Source organism: Homo sapiens, chromosome 18 (assembly GCF_000001405.40).
Source record: "Homo sapiens chromosome 18, GRCh38.p14 Primary Assembly".
Taxonomy (NCBI): domain Eukaryota; kingdom Metazoa; phylum Chordata; class Mammalia; order Primates; family Hominidae; genus Homo; species Homo sapiens.
Genome location: NC_000018.10, coordinates 53,527,328 through 53,548,827, shown reverse-complemented (window position 1 = coordinate 53,548,827; position 21,500 = coordinate 53,527,328). Strand labels below are relative to the sequence as shown.

The 21,500-nt window shown below is 36.9% G+C and overlaps 2 protein-coding genes across 11 annotated transcripts in view; one reads left to right on the top strand and one right to left on the bottom strand.

The window, feature by feature from the left end:
* Window positions 1-21,500, top strand: part of LOC124904304 (uncharacterized) — a 266,099-nt gene that overhangs the window by 198,106 nt on the left and 46,493 nt on the right. For 2 of the 6 annotated variants that reach the window (XR_007066373.1, XR_007066374.1), the window contains 3 exons: window positions 2,727-2,885; window positions 13,385-13,531; window positions 14,580-14,633. The exons of the other annotated variants lie outside the window; for them this stretch is intronic. The gene's annotated coding sequence lies outside the window, so the exon portion shown is untranslated. Of the gene's footprint in view, window positions 1-2,726; window positions 2,886-13,384; window positions 13,532-14,579; window positions 14,634-21,500 lie in introns of those variants that run through there. 6 annotated transcript variants of the gene reach the window in all.
* The window catches only part of DCC (DCC netrin 1 receptor), a 1,195,703-nt gene continuing 1,187,131 nt past the window's right edge, over window positions 12,929-21,500 (bottom strand). For all 5 annotated transcript variants that reach the window (NM_005215.4, XM_017025568.2, XM_017025569.2 and 2 more), the window contains one exon: window positions 12,929-18,264. In NM_005215.4, the coding sequence (NP_005206.2) occupies window positions 18,175-18,264 (90 nt within the window). In that variant the 3' untranslated portion in view covers window positions 12,929-18,174. The remainder of the gene's footprint in view (window positions 18,265-21,500) is intronic.

Genomic DNA, 21,500 nt, shown 5'->3' with positions numbered 1-21,500 from the left:
GTAAGATTGTTTTTTTAAAAAAAAATTTTTAAACAATGGAAAATCAGGCAAAATGAGAAGACTCTGTAGTTTACTTCCCCTCCCCCTGCTTGGATAAGAGTAAGTATCCAAGAATATAATAAAATGTATTGACTTGAAACATAAGTCTGATGGGAATAATACCAATGGCTTTTTAGAATAATCAGCCCGAATGTATAGGTTTGGAGGGAAGTACTTTAGCAATCAAAATATCTTTGCCATGATCAGGAAACATTTTTAGCCCTATTCTCTGATGGTGTATTAAGGTAACTAACATAGTGTAGTCTTCTAAACTTTAAATCTTACCCTAGAGAGGTCTAGTAAACTTCCGTTATTTTGCTACCTAGCATGTACCTTTCCTTCCTTCTGGTAGTGAATCCATAGTGTCTTTTCCTTCTCTATTCTCATCCCATGGGCTCCAAGGCAATTGACACCATCCCTGGGCTTCAGAGGAGGAGTAGGTGAATAAAACTAAGAAGAAAGAAAATTGCAATCACTTGTTTACAGTGATGGGGTCAGGGAAGAACCCATGATCCATGTCTAGCCAACCAGGGCCAAGGAGAGTCAATTCTGGAACTACTATTTGCATTATCCAGGAAGCAGTTTTCTCATGGGAGCCCCCAGGTGGAAGGTGATAGTGGAGATGTGTCTGAAGTTAGTCTATCCCTACATTGTTCAGGTACCCAAGCCAATATATAGTTTCTTTCTGAAATTTAAGTTAGAAGTTTGAGTTAATTTTCTACTGAGTACAGCAGAGTTCTTATTGATACATGAGATGAGAATAGAGATCAACTGGAGATCTTGTAAATATTACAGATTCTCAGACCCCACCCCAGACCAACTGAACTAGTGTCTCTGATAGGGGCCTAGGGTTTCATAGTTTAACAAGAGTTCCAGGTGGTTTCTATAATCATGATAGATTAGAAACACTTTCTCAGGGAATTCCTAGGGACTAGCAGTTGAATGTTACTCCATTTAGTGATAAAAAGTACATATTTTAGAGCTGACAGAAGTGGTTTCAAGGCCCAGCTGTTTGCATATGAATTGGTTGAATTGGGTGATTAATGGCAAGGTACACAAGTACCCTAGTTTCTGTTTCTTCACCAATAAACTTGCAGTGATAGTATTTTACACATAGGAGTGTTTTCTGTAGTAGGTGAGATATGTGCTGAGTCTCCCTTATCTGAAATACTTGGGACCAGAAATGTTTCAGATTTCAGATTTTTTTTGGATATTGAAATATTTTTATTATACCTATGAGCTGAACATTCCTAATCCAAAAATCCAAAATTCTAAAAGCTCAGACTTGCATTTCCTTTGAGCATTACGTCAGCATTAAGAAATGTTCAGGTTTTGGAGCATTTCCAATTTTGGATTTTCAGATTAGGGATGTTCAACTTGCAATTGACACAGAATGTTGCACATATTGATATTCAATTTTATTAGTGTTTATTATTTGTTTATCAGAGTAAGTCAAACTTCTCTGAAACACTGGGGAAACAGTTCAAATCGAAGACACTACAGTCAGAGTTTCTATTGAAAATAAACTAGAACTGAACAGTGGGCTACACCCAACATTGTTAAATATGTTAATTATATTATTTTTATCAAATACTTGACCTTAGACCATATATGGTACATTATTTCTTAAAGATGATGCAACAACAAATTGAATTCAACAAATTCATTCTTTCATTCTTTCAGTTTGACCTTCATGTGCAAAGTCATGTTGAAAATGCCTTTAGTGTACAAAGCACATTTAGGAAGGCCACAAATTTAGTCTGAAAATAATCACCTTTTGTAACTTTGGGTCTAAGGAGCATTCCAATTTGACCCAAGAGAATCCAGAGGAAGAAGCAATACCTTTACTTGCTGTAAAGTCTGGTCTAGAGGTCTTCTCTCTCGTTTAGATAGATAAATGTGACAGGAGAATGCCAGGATAAAGTTTTCATTTACTATTACCACGGAACAAGCACTATATTATACCAGCTGGCCACAGAATTCCTTCCATAGAAGAAATTCTTTGGGGAGAAAGAAACTTAATTAGCTTCTTGGGTTAGGAGGTGAGAGCCTAATGCTCTGAGTGTTAGTAATAGGCTGAACAACAAAACAGGTAGTCATGCTTCCCTGAGGGAAAGAACGAGAGGAATTTTAATTTTTGAAATATTCTATAAGGAATAGAACATAACAGAGACACCATGAAAGGAAGGGAAAAAGAGGGGAGTCTGAGAGATTTTGTAAGGGCAGGAGTTACATGGTTTCAGGGTCTGTGGAATTTTCCTTCTGAAAAACTGACTCAAGGATATTTTATAATAGGAATGTTTTTGGGAGGCCAAGGCAGGCAGATCACGAGATCAAGAGATTGAGACTATTCTGGCCAACATGGTGAAACCCTGTCTCTACTAAAAATACAAAAATTAGCTGGGCATGGTGGCACGCACCTGTAGTCCCACCTACTTGGGAGGCTGAGACAGGAGAATCACTTGAACCTGGGAGACGGAGGTTGCAGTGAGCCAAGATCGTGCCACTGCACTCCAGCATTGTGAATAGCGAGACTCCATCTCAAAAAAAAAAAAAAAAAGGAATGTTTGCATTGCTATAATTGATGGAAAACCCTCGTAGGCCCTCTCTTGTCTTCCTGTCTTCAACTGCATCTTCAGTAAAGTCTGCTATTTTCACTTCTATTTTGTTGTTGTTGTTTTAATGAGGAAATGGTTGCACCAAGAAGATACCCAACAGAATCTGGATGCCCAGAAACAAGACCTAAGATGACATTTCCTACTCTGCCCCTTTGGAAGTTCACAGAAGTCTTAGCGTGGACCTTGAACCCTCATCAGATGTAGAATTGCTGTTAGAATCCCCTACAGGTACAGTCTTCTCCTCATGCTCATATTTTTAGATCATAAAGGATATGTGAATGGCTATTTTCTGGGTAAAAGTACTTATAATACAGGTTGACTATCCCTTATCTGAAATACTTGAGACCAGAAGTGTTTCCAATTTTGGATTATTTTTGGTTTTGGGGTATTTTCATCATACTGGTAGTGTATCTCAAATCTGAACATCTGAAATCTGAAATGCTCCAATGGGCACTCCTTTGGGTATCATGACAGTGCTCAAGGATACTTTTACTAGCCTCTTTGAATTTGGCTTTTGTCTCTTCTTTTATTACATTTTAGAATTCGTGGTCTTGTGTGGATTGAGCTTTACACAATGGGGCAGGGTGAGAATTGTCATCTCAGAGTCTTGTTTCTGGGCAGCCAGATTCTGTAGGGTGTCTTACTGAGGTAACCATTTCCTCATTAAAAATGAAAACAACAATAAAAAAGTGAAAGTAGTAGACATTACTGGAAGCTGGGTTGAAGATAGGAAAAGAGGGCTCCAGGGGGGTTTCACATTAATTGTAGTAATGCAAACATTTCTATTAAAAAATGTCCCTGAGTCATTTTGTCAGAAGGAAAATTCCACAGACCCTGAAACCCAGCATATTAGTTTCCTGTGGCTACTATAACAAATTACCACAAATTTAGTGCTTTTAAACAACAGAAAATTATTATCCCACAGTTCTGGAAGCCAGAGTCTGAAATCTGGGATGAAATCACGTGTCACCTGGAGCAGCCTCTGTCCAGAGGCTCTAGGGTAGGATCCATCCCTTGCCTTTTCTGGCTCCTGGTGGCTGTCAACACTCATTAGCATGTGACTGCATCACTCTTAGCCCTGCCCCCGTGGTTACATTGCCTCCTCCTCTTCTGTGTCTGTGTTTAATATGTCTCTGTCTCTCTCATAAGGACACTCGTGATTATATTTAGGGTTCATTCAGAGAATACAAGATAATCTCCCATCTCAAAATCATTAATCATATTGGCAAAGACTCTTTTTCCATTCCAAGTAAGGTCAAATTGCAAGTTCCGGGTATTAGGACCTGAAATTTTTGGGTGCCAATTATTCAGCCTGTTAACACCTGGCCTCTGCTTCTCTATCCTCTTGGATGAGGGTGTGGAGTAGCCTCCTGCTTTGGGTCCTGAAAAGGTCCATTTTCTGCTGTAAGTGAGGGCAACCTTCACTCATGCAACTTTCCTGGAGTGTGTAATTATTGCACCTAGCCCAGAGGTTTTTTTCCTTAAGCCATAATGCTAGTTATTCTGAAAATTTATGACATAAAAGAATTTGATTTAAAAATTGCCCTGGTTGTCAGAAGAATCACTGCAATATTAGAGTTCATTTTAAAATCCAGTTAAATCCAGTTACCCTTCCAGTAACTTCCTCATTGTTCTCCTCTTCTTCATAGGAAAACTTCTCCAACAGAAATATGCACAGTATTTACTTTATAACTTCCCAGTCCATCTTTAATCTCCTCTAATCTGGCTTTCATCCCCACTCCTTTACTGAAACCATTTCACTACTCTTGCTTTGGTCACCAATAACTAGTAGGACCATATAAATTATCATTGAAAGGAGACACATTTGAAAGTGAAAGTAGATACTATATACTACTAAGTAACTGCATTAACTATACCGGGGCATGATGCACACCAGGACTATCCCAGGAAAACCAGAGGGTGTAGTTACCTAGCAATGACCTTCATGTTGACCATTTCAATCCACATTATTTTATTTTGTCTTGCCCAGCATTTTACCAACTTTTCAACACAGTTGAACTCTCGTTCCCTCTCTAGTACTCTTTCCATTTTTCTTCTGCCATACTAATGCTTTTTTCCTGTTAAAGGAAAATCCTGTTTTTTCCTGTTGTTGGAAAATCCTGTTTTTTCCTGTTGGCCATTCTTTCCAAGCCTGTTCATCTGATTGCTCCTACTCTACCCAATATCTATATTCTGCATTCTCCTAAGGCTCAGTTCCAGGTCTAAATCTCTCTTTATCATATACATTCCTATGGCTTTAGATGCCATGTGCTGGCAATTTCTAAATTTGTCTCCAGTACAGACCTTTCTTATATGTTTCCAATTTAAATATTCAACTGCATTTTGACATCTCCTCTTGGATATATTTAAAAATCATACTCTTTTTCTCTCACACATGCCCAAACAGTTTCTCTCCCAGTCTACTGCATCACAGAAAATGTTTCTATCAACTTAAAAGCCTGTTCACCAGAAACTCACTCCCATCCAATCCACCTGCAAGTATGTTTGTTTCTACCTCCAAAACACATTTCAAATGTACACATTTCATATATACCGATCCATTTCATGTCCTTCTCTTTACCACCATTGAATCCACCATCTCATACTTCCTGTAGCTTTCTTTTTGAATTTTTGTGCCATTTGGAATTTATTCTCCTCACAAGGTCCAGATTTATTTTTAATACATACATATAAAATTGATATATATTTTTATAAATAGTAATTTCATAAAACTTGTATTTACTTTAAATCTTGGTGCCCTGTGACTTCACAACCATTGACTCAAAGATTTCAATGACTTAAAGGAAATGAAGATACTGATATAATAGGCACACTGTGAAGATTTACAAAATATGATGTAGAAGAATTTTTACTAGACCTGAGAAGGAGGCAGAAAATGTGTATTGGACAATATGTGGTGCCTCAGAGGGCAGAAGTGTGCAGGGAGAAATAAAAATATTAAGAGGTTAGGTTGAAGGGTCCTGACACCCTGTAGAGGGTGAAACCCTAGGGCAGAGAGGCCAGGGATGATAGGAACTGTAGATAGGTAGGGAGGGAAGGCAAAACCAGAAGTCATTGGTCCATTGTGTTTTATAGAATTCTTGAACAGAAACATCTCAGAAAGCTAGCTACTGCTACAAAGGAAAGTGGTGGTTTGGTATGCTTGGGAGGGAGTGTGCTACTGTAGCACCCGCGTTGACACCTGAGGAATCTGGTAATTTTGGCACACTCTCAGTGGGGCATGTAGGCGATATCTGAGCTGAGAGTCTAGGATTTGCCATAGGATTATCATGGGCAGGGGAAGCTAACCCTTAAACAGAGATTGCATAGTAGACAACCTAGCTGGGGACCAGGTGGAGGACAAGGCTGAGACACAGATATTTAATGGCTCTGGAAAGAACACAGATGGGGCCAAGCAAGTGAGGGAGATCATGAGATGCTCCCACACTGAGAGAAAAGATTCTCAGTGTATGAGATGTGCCCAGAAGCCACTTTAACAAGGATTGTTTAAAAGAAGGGCCTTAGCAATAAGAAATTCAGCTGTGGCAGAGAGCTAGAGCTTTGAACATCGTGACTTCATCCCAAAGAGCTTCAGCTAAGCAGAAAGAGGCTGCTGTAGATGAAAAAGAAACCATAGGTTCCTTTCATTGGCAAGATTGAGATTTATCTTAGTACCCAACAAGAGCTGGGAATCATGGGCAAAATAGAAGACATTCCAGACACTAAAGGCTGTTACATGATTTTGCACATGTGAGGTAGTATATGTACAATTTTTTTACCTTGATACACATAAATTGGATGTTAACTTTCTTCTTCTTAGTGCCCCCAAATGACTTGCATTTCCTTTGGAATATAGACAGTAGCATGCATTGCAGGTACAGCATGATCTGGCCGAATCCTAACTCCTTAACTTCTTTGACTCCATTTCTTCCTCTTTGTCAATGAAAGGCAACTTCACTAACTGCCTGTCTGTTCTTTGCATAAGCCAAGGTTGTTCTCAACCCAAGAATTTGCTTATGCTTTTTCCTTTCTCTGGAATGAATGTTGCATCATCCCAATATTCACATGAATGACTCTTTTGTATCCTCTTCAGTTTAAGGGGATAAATGCCACCCTCATGAGGAAGTCTTGCCTGGTCTGAAGTGGCTCCATTCTTCTTTGATAATGGTGAATAACCTCAAAAGATACTATGTTTCTATAATACAACCTTAGTTTATAGCACTCTTCACAATTATAATTACTGCACTGATTTGTTCATTTGTTCTTTGTCTCCAAAAGTAAATTATAAACTCCATGAGAGCAGGGGTCATATTGACATTGATCACTGTTGTTTTTCCAACATTAGCTTAGTTACTGGTACACAATAAATACTCAAAAAGCATTTGTGAATGAGAAAATTAAGCTTTCATGCTCAGTGGTTTCTTATTGCTAACAGAATTACATATCTTGGACCATCATTACAAGATCTCCATTGATTATGCAAATGTGTTTCCCACCTTTTTTTCCCACAAACCATACACTTCTCCAAATAATAAAAAAAAATCCGACATACTTTAGTTTCCATATAAGTCTATAAATTCTAACCTTTTTATCTTTTTGCTCATATAGTTTCTTTCATCTGAATTGCCCATTTCCATCTCTAAAGTTTTAGTCTTTTTTATTATTTAAAGCTCTTCTCAATACCATGTTCCCTATGGGGCTTCTGTGAATTTAATTTGATGCTCTGTACTCTGATGAAAATTACTCTTTACTTGACTAAAGGTATCTAACTGTCTCATTTGAACTATGGTCATATACATACACATATATGTAGTGTATAACTATAGAAGATGTATAGTTTCATCCTTTGGTTCATTGGTACTCTTAGCATTGTGCCTTGTATGTGAACAAAAGGCTCTAAAATATTTTTTGGATATACTAAGGAAAAGTAAAACACTTTATAATAATACCATCCTTTGGAAATCTGCGTTCTTCATCTGCATACATGCTGGAAATTATACCTATAAAGTAAGAAACACACGTAAACCACAGAGCTGCTAAATTCCCATGCGCACTTTTTGAAACATATGAAAAGGTTCATAAATGTCAAGCAAAAGATTGAGTACAGAGACAGAAAGAATAGAAATAGAATTCATTAGGCTTTTGTCAAGAACCAGGAATTCTAAGGGCTTTGTACACATTGTCTAATTTAAAGTTAAGCCCACACCATCCCTATGAAGTAAATGTTACAGTTAGTTTTCTGAAACATCCTATTTAGGGAAGAAATAGGAATAATTCATGACAAATGAGTCACATCTACAAAATTGAAATGCTACCATTGTTAGGAGAGTTCCACATCAAAGAACAGTTTTAGCTTGAATAAAAAGAAAAAAAGTAGCTCAGGAAATCCACCACAGGTTCAAAGAATAGCACAAAAATAAAATTCTTAAGAAACGTTAAGATGGTGAAAAGTTGTTCTACTAACAGATATTTTGTCAAACTTATATGAAGAGTCAGAATAGATATTAGCAAAGACGGGGAAGTTAAAGGACTGTTATTAATTTATAAAGAAGAATGTTAATTAAATCTGAAAGGACTCTGGGAAAAATTACTTCTGTTATTTATTTCAAGCAATCTTTTGAACTGCTAATGAGAACATTCCAATTATCTCAGGAATAATTGCCTAACTATTTATTGCATCAAATTATGAATTTCAGAAGTTAAGGAGGATGAGAGCAATTAGTTACAAAAAAGGAAAAATGATATAACAACATGAAAATAAGAAATTGGTAAATAAGAAATAGATTAAGCTTAGAGTTAGAGAAATAAAAGGTAAGATATAATTTAGACTTCCGTAAATAGAAAGTAGAATAAAACTTAAGTCTTTTTTTTTTTAAAAAAGTCCAGGATTCAATAATTATGTTGATGCCTGTAAAGTTGCCCCTAACACAGCATATCCCAATTTCTTATTAAAATATCAGTGGACTCAGAAAAAAATGTATTAGAAAAGGAGGAGGAGGAGGAGGAGGAGGAGGAAGAGGAGGAGGAGGAGGAAGAGGAAGAAGAGGAAGAAGAGGAAGAAGAAAAGAAAAAGAAGAAAGAAGAAGAAATTAATATACAGGCCTGAAAAGCAAGCCCTCCCACACAACTCAGAAATGTTTTATTGATTTGTTTCACTATCAGGCCAATGAAACTTTGAGAAAAGCATGATGGATGAACCATCCTTGCCATATTTCCAGTGATCTTATGCAAAATGGTTTTTTAGTTCACAAAGTTTATATGAACCCCAAAATCTAGGCAGGGAGTCTGGCTGCCTCAAAAACATCAGGCATTCAGTAATTATTTATTTCTTCCTCTACTCTGTCTCTCCATTTATTTGGTTACTATAAACTGTCAGAACAGAACTAAGCAGAAGAAGTAAGAAGGGAACTAATCATCTTGAGTACATTTCTCATCTTCACAACCTTGTAGGCAGGCAAAGATAAAGGAAGCGATCTGGCATTTCTGAATTCTTGAGATTTGCTTCTTCTAAAATAATTCATTTGCGAATCAGAATACCAGGGAGAGGAAAGGAAGGACCTTCTATGGGTTCAGCAGAGTTATACTGGATGAAAGCCAGTGAGATACTGGAAACTTTCTGGGGTCTCTGTGTAACTGGCTATCTGGCTGTGAATCAGAAGTCACAGAACATAGCGGTGGTATAATGGGCTGAGGGCAATCCAGTTGCACAGGGGCTTGGCACTCATTGATCTGAAGAGACCGTCCTTCATTTGAAAGTAAATGAATAGATTAAAATATTTCAAACTGAAATAAACATAATAGGCTAAGGTAATGAGTTATAGTAGGTTTAGAGAACAATTATTTTACAAAGCCAGGAGATTATTTCATAGAAAACTATTAAGTTCACCTACATGCATATTAATACATCTTCCTATCTATATTCATTATAACATCATAGAGTATTTGAGGTAAGAGAGAATCTTATTCTTCAACCTCTCTAAAATCCTTCCCATAAAATATTTGCAGTGAAGAGAGTAGTTAAGTTTCTCCCTTAACCTTCTTCTCCCTAGGCCAGACTATGGAAATTTATCCAAATTTTTTTTTTTTTCAAATAACCAGTTTCCCATGCAGATAATGATCTCTGATAGCCTTTTGTGCAGCACAACATTCCTTTGTAGGTTGATTACATAAATTGAATATGATAGTGTAATATATATCTGACATAAAGTAGACTGAGGTATACGTTCTGCTTCTGTTTCTTGCATATCAATCTACTTTAATGTGTTTGCTGTTGCATATTTATAGTTCAGAAGCCTTAGAGGAAATATCAGTATTTATAGAGACGGTGCTGGAATATTCTTATATGGAGATTTTTAAAAATTGTGGTAAAATATACATAATGTAAAATTTACAATTTTAACCATTTTTAAGTGTACAAATGATGTACATTCATATTTTTATGTTATGATTCCCACCATCCATCTCTAGAACTTCACTCATCTTCCAAAACTGAAATGATGTATGCATTGAATGATTACTCTTGCTCCCAACCCCTGGTCCCTGATTACCACCATTCTCTTTTCCACCTCTGTGAATTTGACTTTTCTAGATTCCTCATGTAAGTGGAATCATACAGTATTTGTCTTTTTGTGACTGTCTTATTTTACTAAGCATAATGTCTCCAAGGTTTATCCATGCTCTTGCATTTGATAGTATTTCCTTATAAGGCTAAAGAATATTCCATTGTATGATTATGCCACATTTTGTTTATCCACCAATTTGTCTGTGGACAATTGGGTTGCTTCCATCTTTTGGCTATTGCAAATAATGCTCTTATGAACATAGGTGGTTGAATATCTGTTTGAGTCTCTGCTTTCAATTCTTTTGGGTATATGAGCAAAAGTGGAATTATTGGCTTCTATGGTAATCTGTTTAATTTTTTAAGGAACTGTCATACTGTTTTCCACAGTGACTACCATAAGTTTACATTTCCACCGAAACTGAACAGGGGTTGGAATCTATCCACATCTTTTAAGATCTTTAAATACATTTTTCCCTTCTATATGGGATGATAATGAATTGAAGAAAATGGGAAAGGCTAGATGAACTTTAAAGTTTCCACCTGTCTTGTCATCTGCAATGCATTGCTTTAAAATAATAACTTACTGAGAAGTTTTCTGCTTTCCCAAAAGAGTTAATAAAACTTTTATCAATATGTGACTTTCTCTTAAAGAATAGATTACATGCTGTGATGGTTAATACTGAGTGTCAACTTGATTGGATTGATGGATACAAAGTATTAATCCTGGGTGTGTATGTATGGATGTTGCCAAAAGAGATTAACATCTGAGTCAGTGGGCTGAGAAAGGCAGATCCACCCTTAATCTGGTGGGCACAATCTAATCAGCTTCCAGTGAATATAAAGCAGGAAGAAAAACCAACGTGAAAAGGAGAGACTGGCCTAGGCTCCCAGCCTATATCTTTCTCCAGTGCTGGACACTTCCTGTCCTCGAACATTGGACTCCAGGTTCTTCAGTTTTGAGGCTCGGACTGGCTCTCCTTACTCCTCAAGCTTGCAGACAGCCTATTGTGAGACCTTGTGATCGTGTAGGTTAATATTTAACATTAGGTCTCAGATATATATATATATATATGTATATATATGTGTGTGTGTGTGTGTGTGTGTGTATATATATATATATATATATATCGTGCAAACCAAAATATATATACACCAATAGTATATATGTGTGTGTGTATACACACACACTATTGGTTCTGTCTCTCTAGAGGGCCCTAATACACATGCCAAACTTAATCTTTCAATAATTGTAGCTATATAATGTTCAACACCTATGTGACCCCATATTCTGCTGCTGACACTATGAGAATGAAATATCTGGATGATGAAAAGAGTATTTTATTCATTTGTTGTTTGTGTGTTGAAATTGGATCACAGCTAGAAGGATCTTGCCTTGAGTGAATTCCCTAGAAACAGACCTTGCCATAAAGATTTGCATGAAAGTGATTTACTGTGAAGTGCTCCCAGGAGAAACCATTAGGGGAAGGGGGCAAGATAAAAAGGGAAGGGAGGCAATCCAAGCAAGGGTACACTATTACAGTGCACTATTGTGAAGCAGTAGCCCCACAGTCACTGTGGCTCAGCTCTACAGGGGTACTCTGGAGATAAATTGGGTTACAACTCAAAATTGTTTTCATCGGGGCAAAGGGGGTGCTATTTGAAAGGTCTAATCAGACATTTCCAGCTCTCCCACGCATGTAGGCAAAGACAAGTTCTAGCAGTCTTGGGAATAAAGAGACATGGTTATTGACTGGAGTGAAAGCACACTGGAAATGTGCATGAAAATGGCATAAGGGTCCACTTCCTTTAAAAATAATAACTTACTTGAGTATGAGGCAGAGAACTGATAGCTCCTACCACAGCTTTTAATAAAAGGTAATATTTATGCTATGGTTTTGATATCTGACCTCTCCAGATCTCATGGTGAAATTTGATCCCCAGTGTTGAAGGTGGGGCCTAATGGGAGAGGTTTGGGTCATGGAGGTAGATTCCTCATGAATGGCATGGTGCAGTCCACATGGTAATGAGTGAGTTCTTATTCTATTAGTTCCCAAGGGAACTGGTTGCTTAAAAGAGTCTGGCACCTCCTGCTTCTCTCTCTTTTTTTTTTTTTTTTTTTTTTGAGACGGAGTCTCGCTCTGTCGCCCAGGCTGGAGTGCAGTGGCGGGATCTCGGCTCACTGCAAGCTCCGCCTCCCGGGTTCACGCCATTCTCCTGCCTCAGCCTCCCAAGTAGCTGGGACTACAGGCGCCCGCCACTACGCCCGGCTAATTTTTTGTATTTTTAGTAGATACGGGGTTTCACCGTTTTTAGCCGGGATGGTCTCGATCTCCTGACCTCGTGATCCGCCCGCCTCGGCCTCCCAAAGTGCTGGGATTACAGGCATGAGCCACCGCGCCCGGCCCTGCTTCTCTCTCTTGCTTCCTCTCTTGTTATGCGATCTCTGCACATGTGGATTTCCCTTTCCTTTCCACCATAAGTGAAAGCCGCCTGAGGCCTCACCAGGAACAGATGCTGGCACCACACTTATTGTACAGCTCGCAGAACCATGAGCTAATTAAACCTCTTCTCTTTATTAAGTTACTCAGCTCAGGTATTCCTTTACAGCAACACCAATGGACTAAGAGAATGAATCTTAAGGATACAGACAAGCAAGGTTGTGGTTGTGTGTGTGGCACAGCATTTACTATAAATAACATGAAAAAAGAACTTTGTATCAAAACTTTATTTATTAAACAAAAAATGCACCATTGGAATAACATTTCTATAAAAAAATGAATATGAGACTGTTCTACAGTGTTTACAAAACCCCCTTTTCCTTGTGTAGTAGTATACAAGATCATGTGTAGAAACAGTCATTGTTTTAAACTGTAAGCAAGTTTCCTTTCTTGTAGAACAAGATTTACACTTAAATATTGCAATCACTAGTCTAATTTGGTTAACAATGCTAGAATCTGACAGTTTAAAGAAACTTTTTGTAGGCTCAAAATACCTTTTTGTTAAAAAAGGTGTTTTGTAACAACAAAAAATTTCTTTTCTCACTAAGGCTAGTTAAAGCTGTAGTATACCCATTTCTACCAAATAAACTTATCACTAGCACACTAACAATCTGTTTGAGTTGCAAAGCCCTTTGAATGAGTAGCACTGATCTGCAAAATGCTTTCAGAATTATTTAGGTTTGGTGTTATCTTCTTTGAATGACCCTAAAAAGGGAGAAGTGGCGATGATGGAACTTCAGTGAAGGCTTTGCCTGGACTGGACATCTCTTCATACTCAGCAATGGACAATTCATTTCCAAAGTGGTCCCTCTGAGGTATGGAACACTGCAGCTTTAACAGCCGTATCTAGATCCCAACCAGATCTCCCTTTTTATCATAAATTATCCAAAAAGAAGCCACTCTAAATAATAAATTAAATATTACTTATAAAAAGTACACCCCATACCCGCCCACCCTTCCCCCAAACAAGCTGACAATTCACAAAGTTCAGAATTGTCAGATTTACCCTACAATAATAAAAAACAGCATTTCTCCTCCTCTCCATCATTCCTTTCTTGCATCTGAAAATACATGTTCAGCACACAGTGAGATCCCTTGGCCCATGCCCCTGTGTTTATTAAATCTTGCAGAGTTTTGCTCTTGCTCTTCTACCAACAACAATCATAGGATGACAATGTACAAAGGCTCTCTATTGAGAGTAAGAGAAAAAAGTCCTTCAGAGAGTGCAACTGGAAGTCTGCCACGTGAACGTTATGCAATAGTGGCAACGAAGAGTCCAGATGAGTAGTAATATTCATTTGCTGATATGGGTGTGGTATTTTGTCTTTTACATAACCTCACTGACCAGGAAATTGGCATTTTTTTTCCCAAATCAATACTTTTTGGCAACAGGTATTTAGATAGCAAGATACATTGAGGCATGGGTACATATATTTTGCATTGGAATGGAATATCATACAAAACACCTATCTATGATTTTCCCAAGTATCCAATTTAATTTTAAACACTAGACTCAAATAAAAAGCTTTTCTGTACAATACTAAAGTGATTTCTGAAAGTCACCAGAGAAATGCAAATTATGAGTAAAATGTTGCTTTGAATGTGATTTACAAAAACAGAGACTTGAGTGTATGGCTGCTTCTGCATCTCCAGAAAGTTGTGGGCTCTGTATAGTATATGGTTATGAGCAGGTTAGGATAGTAACCTCTGGCCTGCAGGACTGCCTGTGGTTGCATGAAGGGAACTGAGTGAAAGGGAAAGTAACCCTGCTCTGCATCTATTTTAAAGTTCAGATGACTTTGTTTTCTTTAAACATGCCTGAAACTAGACAATTTTTCCATTTTTCTTTCTTTCATTGACTAGAAATGTACATTCCGAAACCATAAGAATTCTGGGACACAATTTTATCTAAAATGGTAAGATGTTATCTTTAGAGGTAACCTTTTGTTGTAATTACAGTCCAGCTGCTATATCTGAGATACCATATTACATTTGGGGACAACCATAAGATGATTATTTAAACAAAGTCAACAGAAGTACCCAAAGGGTGGATAAGTATCAGCAATCATCTTCAAGCACAGACACCAACAGCTTCCAGAAATACCTGTACTTAAGAGATTCTTTATTGGAAAAGCCAATAAGTGCCAAACATTTTAGTTTCAGAATGTTGTCTGAAACATCACACTAGCACAGGATGGCTCTCCTTGTGTAGCTGGAACCAAAGCAGGAGATTGAACATACACCTAATTTTGAATAATCCCTATTTTGAGGAAACTAAGAATATACTCAACAGGAATCCTTAATAAATCTCCACTTATATCACTGGCTTGGTATTTTTTTCAGCTCATTCAATTGAGTATGCATTTTATAATACCCAAATGTAAAACTTCATTATTTAAATATTCTAGAAGCTTATATCTCTGTTATTCAAAGAGGCAAGTATGACTGGTTTCTTATTGGCTATGATTCACTACGAAATATTTAACTTTTGGCTAGAGCATCATCCAAATATTCTTTATACATTTGAACTATCTAAATTTTTATAAGTTTCACAAATGCAGAAATTTCTGCAGAGGAGAGAAAATAGCTTTCTTATTAGGGTGAAATTTAAAGAAAAATACCATTTTTTTTAAAAAAAAGAGGATGTTGCCTGACATTTAAGCACATTACAGGGCAGACCAGAGAATGCTCTGCCAAATATGATTTTCTTCTTTTTCAGGGAGAAATGAGTTCTGGTGGCAGAGCGGCTGGTTGGCTGTCAGGTATCACCCAATGGGAATCAGAGAGAGTTATGAGCATAAAGAGTCCTGGATACCATGAACTAGACTCAGTAGGAGGAAGTCAGAGGCTAGTTTGCAGTATTCACAGGTTTCTTCTTGTCAAGAGATCAGGAGACTGGGAAATTAATAAGTTACCTGAAAACTTGGGCAGGCAATTATATACATATATGAATCATTTGAGGGTAAAGGGAACAGAGTTATACAAAAGTTGTGGTGACATCATTGTATATTAATACTACCAGGTAAATGATACTAGAGTTTTTTGAGGATGTTTAAATTGATTGTATTATAGATTAAATGCATGGTGCTAATACTGGCATTGCCAGTTACTAAGACAAACCATTCTATTTAATGAAGAAAGTTTCAAAAGCATGCAGCAGAAATATAACTTCCACTGAAGACAAATAACATGTATTTAAATGGATTTTTAAAAATTTTATTTCCTAAATAATTATTTTTGACTAGAAGGATCTAGAAATTTGTGAAAATGATAGGTTTTTTTTTTTTTTTTAATTGGTCAACTTCATTCTATAGATTGAAGGTGTGACTCAATCCCTAAAATCTGAGATTTGCAACCTATTCCAAACTGAGCACTCAGGATTACCCTCGTGGGTGTCAAGTGCCTAAGGAGAATGTTCCATGTTTGCTAGAATTAGAAAGGGGAGGTAATAATTCTTAGGGCCTAGAGAAGGTTGGGCTAGCCCAATGAATATTTTCTTTTTTGAAGTAATGGATTATTTCTGAATAATTCAATATTATGTTAGGAAACACTTTATTCCAGGTCAGTAGAAGGTTGTCTACCTAAGTGCCCAGATGTTAAATAAGAGTAGTCTGTCCCATAGAACAACATCACATAGCTCTTCAGAAAAGACTTCCAGAAAATCTGAGTAACTTGAATGAGCACTCTTGTTGAAGGAACAAATTCGCAAATGGACCGGACTTTCTAATGAACCATTTGAACAGCCCTCTCTTTGACATCAGATTTCCTTCCCGACATAAAACTGTAAAAAAATAAACTGAATTATTACTTCTGTTACAGTGCCATTTTGCTCAAAATATTTTATTCAGGGATTCATATATAATTACCCACCTAATAAAAGGAGCTATTAGGTTGTAAAGATCCTATCCCTTCCATGCTCTTTTAAAATTATGACCTACTCAAGCTTGAAATCAAAGGCAGAGCTGAAAGGAATAATTCAGCTGAAACTCTCTCATTGGGTTTTCAAGTCACCTAACTGATAAATATGCAAACTAGCTCCCTTTTGGCGATTCAGCTGCATAAACAGGGATTAACTCCAAATGCAGCTGAAAATTCAGAAACTAAAATGCTGCATACAAAATGTTCTTAATTTTAGCTAGTTCCAAGCTGTAGATAAACATGGCAATAGAAGTTTAAAACTGTAGTCCACAGTTTAAGATGCTGCTTTGAAAAGTATCTGCTGGATTTACATGTCGGAAGTGTCAGGTGGCACCTGCCCCTCTGCTTCCCCCTGACTCTGACACAGGTGTAGTGTAAAAGTTTCCCTTAACAAAAGGGTCTGGTGGCCAATGCTTGCCAACACTGACCCTGTAGGCAGAGTTGGCATTCTTTAAGAGAAGGTACTGTTAGAAGCTACCTTTTATTTTCCTTCTCTTCCTGCTCTCAGGGAGTCTGCCATTTCTACGGGATTAGAAGACAGGCGACATTGGCCAGTGCACCATATGACATGTGGAGCTGGCCATTTCACCCAACGCTAGTTGCCAAGGAGAACTCAGGGAGGGATGGGGTGAAGGGGTGGGGGCATTCTTCTGGCCAAACTCCTAAGGAAGATGGCCTTAGTGAAGCTTTGAAATTGTATCACAGTGTGGTATGGCACAAAAGCCACCCAAATTGAAAACTGTCCTATTACAAGCTTAAGCATATAATTACCATGTGTCTGAGAAGATTGCATATTATATCCTCTTTCCAGAAATGTACTGCTGCTGGCAGAATGCCACTAGTTGCAGATTTTTATATTCCTGGACTCCAGACATACATATTAACCAAGGGTGGATTTACAAATACTTGCCAAAATAGGTGAATTTTTAGCCACTCACTAATATCCACCACTTGTGCAAGATGAATGACTGAGTTACAAACATAAGCATTCTCTGCCTTTTGTTTGTTTACTATTTACTTTTTGTGCTGTAAGGAAAACATCCAATCCTTTGGTGCTATGGCATGAGAGATTCCCATGGGTGCTTTGTATGTTTAAGTTGAAAACAAAATAGTGAGCTTGCACTGGTTTGCCATGGCATGGTACAGGCTTAAATAATGCACTTGCATTTTGTAAGACTAGACCTACACATTAAACAACAGGCCTTGACAAAGGAAAACATAGGTATTAGTTATGACAGTGTGGTCACTGCAGTGACAAAGGCCCATGACTATTCTAGCAGCTTAAACTTTGACATTGCAGTGAAAATGCATCTTTGCTTTTGTTTAGGGAACTCATAATCATCATTTGACAATTCCTGATGCCTGTGAAAGAAGGAATGCTTATTCCTTCTGAACTGCTTCAGGATCTTCCTTAACTGAGTGGTCCTGATGGGTGACCTGTACACTGGTTAGAGTTCTTGGACACAGGTGTGCTGTTTATGGGTAATTGGTATGCTGCAAAGTTCCCGGAAAATTCACCTCATCCATTCAGAAATACATGTTAAAAGGCTGAGCCTGTGATGGCATTAAGCTGCTTCATGAGTCCTTCCAAACTTGCCATTTGTTCACTCAGATCATCCTGTTCATACACCTATAAAGAGAATGAGAGCCAAGAGTTAGTAACAAATATTGATCCATTTCTTTTATGAAGGCCGGGGCCACAGCTAGTTGGGGTGCTACGTATTCCCAAGTCTGACCTAGGAGACCACAGCCAGGGCTGTCCTTGGAATATACTCACTGAATGAAGATGCTGGTAATAAAAGGGGATAATAAGAGATTGCATATTGTTTCACCCACTCCATCTCCACCTGTGACAAGGAAGATGTTTCAGAGTCAAAAAGATTGGGTTTCAAATCAAGTTCTCCCAATTATTAGCTGTGTGGTCTTAGACAAGTGAGTGCACCTCTCTGATACGTAATTTTCTTCATCTATAAAATGATAATGACATCTATTTCATAGGCTATTCTGAGCCTCCTGTAACATGTTTAGTACCCATGATAGGGTCTGGCATATGGTAGATATTCAATACATTAGCTCCTGTTCCTCTTACTAGGTTAACCAAGATATGAACAGAATATTTTTTCTCTGTATCATGACATAGATACATTTTTTTTTGTATGTGAGAACTCAGCGGGCTTTGCCTTGGCCAATGAAACGTCTGGAGATTATGACTTTAGTTTGTGTGTGGAAACAAAATTCATGCCCCAAACCACAGTCAATCCTTTTTGGGACAATTTGAATGGTGGATAAAAGAAGAGGTTGAACTCCAGAATGCCTAGTGAACTGTCACTAATTCACTCTGTAAACTCACTCACTATAAGTCACTATTATCATGTCAGTAAGTAATAGAATTACTAGTTACCACAAATACCAGGTCGCTAGGCTTAGGAATTCTGTTTCAGAAGGTATGGGAAGAACCTAGACATCCTAATTAAAAGAAAAATTCCCAGGTAGTTTTGATAGTTAGCCAGATGGGGAAATAAGATGTGAAACTGATTTGAATCCCAGTCCTTTTATATACTTGCACATTTTATTTGAGTTAGTCTTCTTATTTGTGAAATGAGAATAACAAGTTTGTCTTTTGAGGAGTTAGGAGGATTCAACAAGTCAGGGCTGCCTAGTGGTAAGTGTTCAGTAGATGTTAGTTTTCTTTTTTTCCTTTCTTGAACATATTAGTTGACTTATACAGATGTTCTACTTATTATTCTTGGCTAGCGCATTCCATTGATTAAATGATTGAACCAATGAGGCCTGAGCCATGATTTCTAGCTCTGCATAGGCCAAGACACATTCCTTAGCACTATGATCAGAGATGTATATCTAATCTTGCCAAATAAGTACCCTTGATCTCAAGAGAGCATTGATAGAATTTGCATGGGTGGGAGGTAGGCACAAAGCTACTCCAGCCATTGAAAAAACAGCTCAAAATGTATGGTATTAATGTATGAGCTTCCTATAGAAATCTCAGCATGTCAGTGAATGATTCGGGCATACACTACCCAATCTTCAGGGCTTAATAGAGGACTGAAAAGTTTCCAATTTGGCTAAAAGCCTGTTTATATACATACAATGTGTGTGTGTGTGTGTGTGTGTGTGTGTGTGTGTGTGTGTGTGTGAGAGAGAGAGAGAGAGAGAGAGAGAGAGAGAGAGAAGTTGAAGTGAGGGGATTACTAGGCAACTCATTTCCAAAATGTTGTTTTCATTGTCTGGTTGTCGTTCTCAAACTGTCTAGATTTCATTGTATAATACGGCAACCACTAGCCACATGTAACTATTATATTCTTAAAATGTGCCTAGTCTCACCTGAAATGTGTTTTACATGAAAAAATACGTACCAGTTTTGGAACAGTACAAAAAAAGTAAAATACATTATTGACAATTTTAAATATTTATTGCATGTTGAGATGATAATATTTTGGAAATATTGGGTTAGATAAAAGGTATTAACTTCACCTATTTATTTTTACATCTTTTAATGTAGCTTCTAGTCAATTTAAAATTACACATTATGTTTTCATAGGCAAATGTTGGTCTACACTATTTGTCCTCTTTATTTCCTTTAATATGTGTTTCTTACTGCTTTTAATATTAATAAAGTTTAATATTTTAATTTGGCTGCCATTCTTTAGAGTCAACCTTTAATGTAAAAATAGGCCTACCTGACATGATTCTTTATGAGATGAGATACTTCATGTAAACTTAGAAGTTTGATTTTATTTGAGATGTGGCCACAAACCTTGATCCTAAACAGATATTGACATAAACAGCTATATTCTAACGCACAAAAGTGCATTAGAGTCTTATAAATTTGAATCTTTGAAAAGCATGTTAAGTAGATAACACTCATCTGCCAAAACATTTACAGACACACTCACATACTCAGCTTCCCTGATCTCTATGTCGTTAAAATATTTTATTGTTTGTAGTATTGAAAAAAAATTAAGTCAAGAAAAATGTATTGTTCTTCATTCAAATGAAATGATTCTTTGTTTTTAACAACAACCAGATATCAAAAGAAAGTATAATTTTTATAAAAGACCTGGTAGTTGCATTGCTTACAGAGGACTGATTAAATGTTACCTACTTATTCCTTGATATTGTTATAAATTTATTTTTCAATACATTATTTGCAAATTTTGCAGAAGACTTCATTTATGCATGAAGAAAACAAGCTAGTTGGAAGGGTGGCAGATTATTTTCATTTCATAATTTATGCTTAAAAAAGATCCAAATGTAATAACAAAATAGAATTTTAATCTGCTCTTTTCATCTTTTTTCTCTTCTAGTGCCCTGATTTTTCAAGATATCTGATATGTTAATTCCTTAGGCTTCTTTTAAATGTTTTCTCTTGAATTATATTCAGAAACAACTAAAGTGTACTATAAATAGCTGCCTTTAGGCAATGTCTTTTTGAATCTCCTTTACAGTGCATTTTCGGGATAAATGTTTTTTTTTTCTTAAAATTCTGATTTTTTCCCCTTCTCTATTGATGTTCCTTCTGAGTTTTCTAACTGGAACCCTTTTTAGCTTATTTCCTTAGTAAAACTTTTTCTGTCTTTAAATAAACTTTCCCTTCTTATTTTTTAATTACGTCATTTCCTTTTTGTATTACTTAAACTCCTTCAATTTTTTTATTTTATATTTTTTCCTTCACAAATCTATATTTCTGGTATTTTATGATTTCAGAAGTAACATATATAATAACTTCAAAAAGCCCTCATAATATAGCTTTTTGTCACTATATTTTTTTAATTTTAGAGAATAACTGTATAAGTTGGTGTAGTAATGTGCACCTATAGTCTTAGCTACTTGGGAAATTGAGGCAGG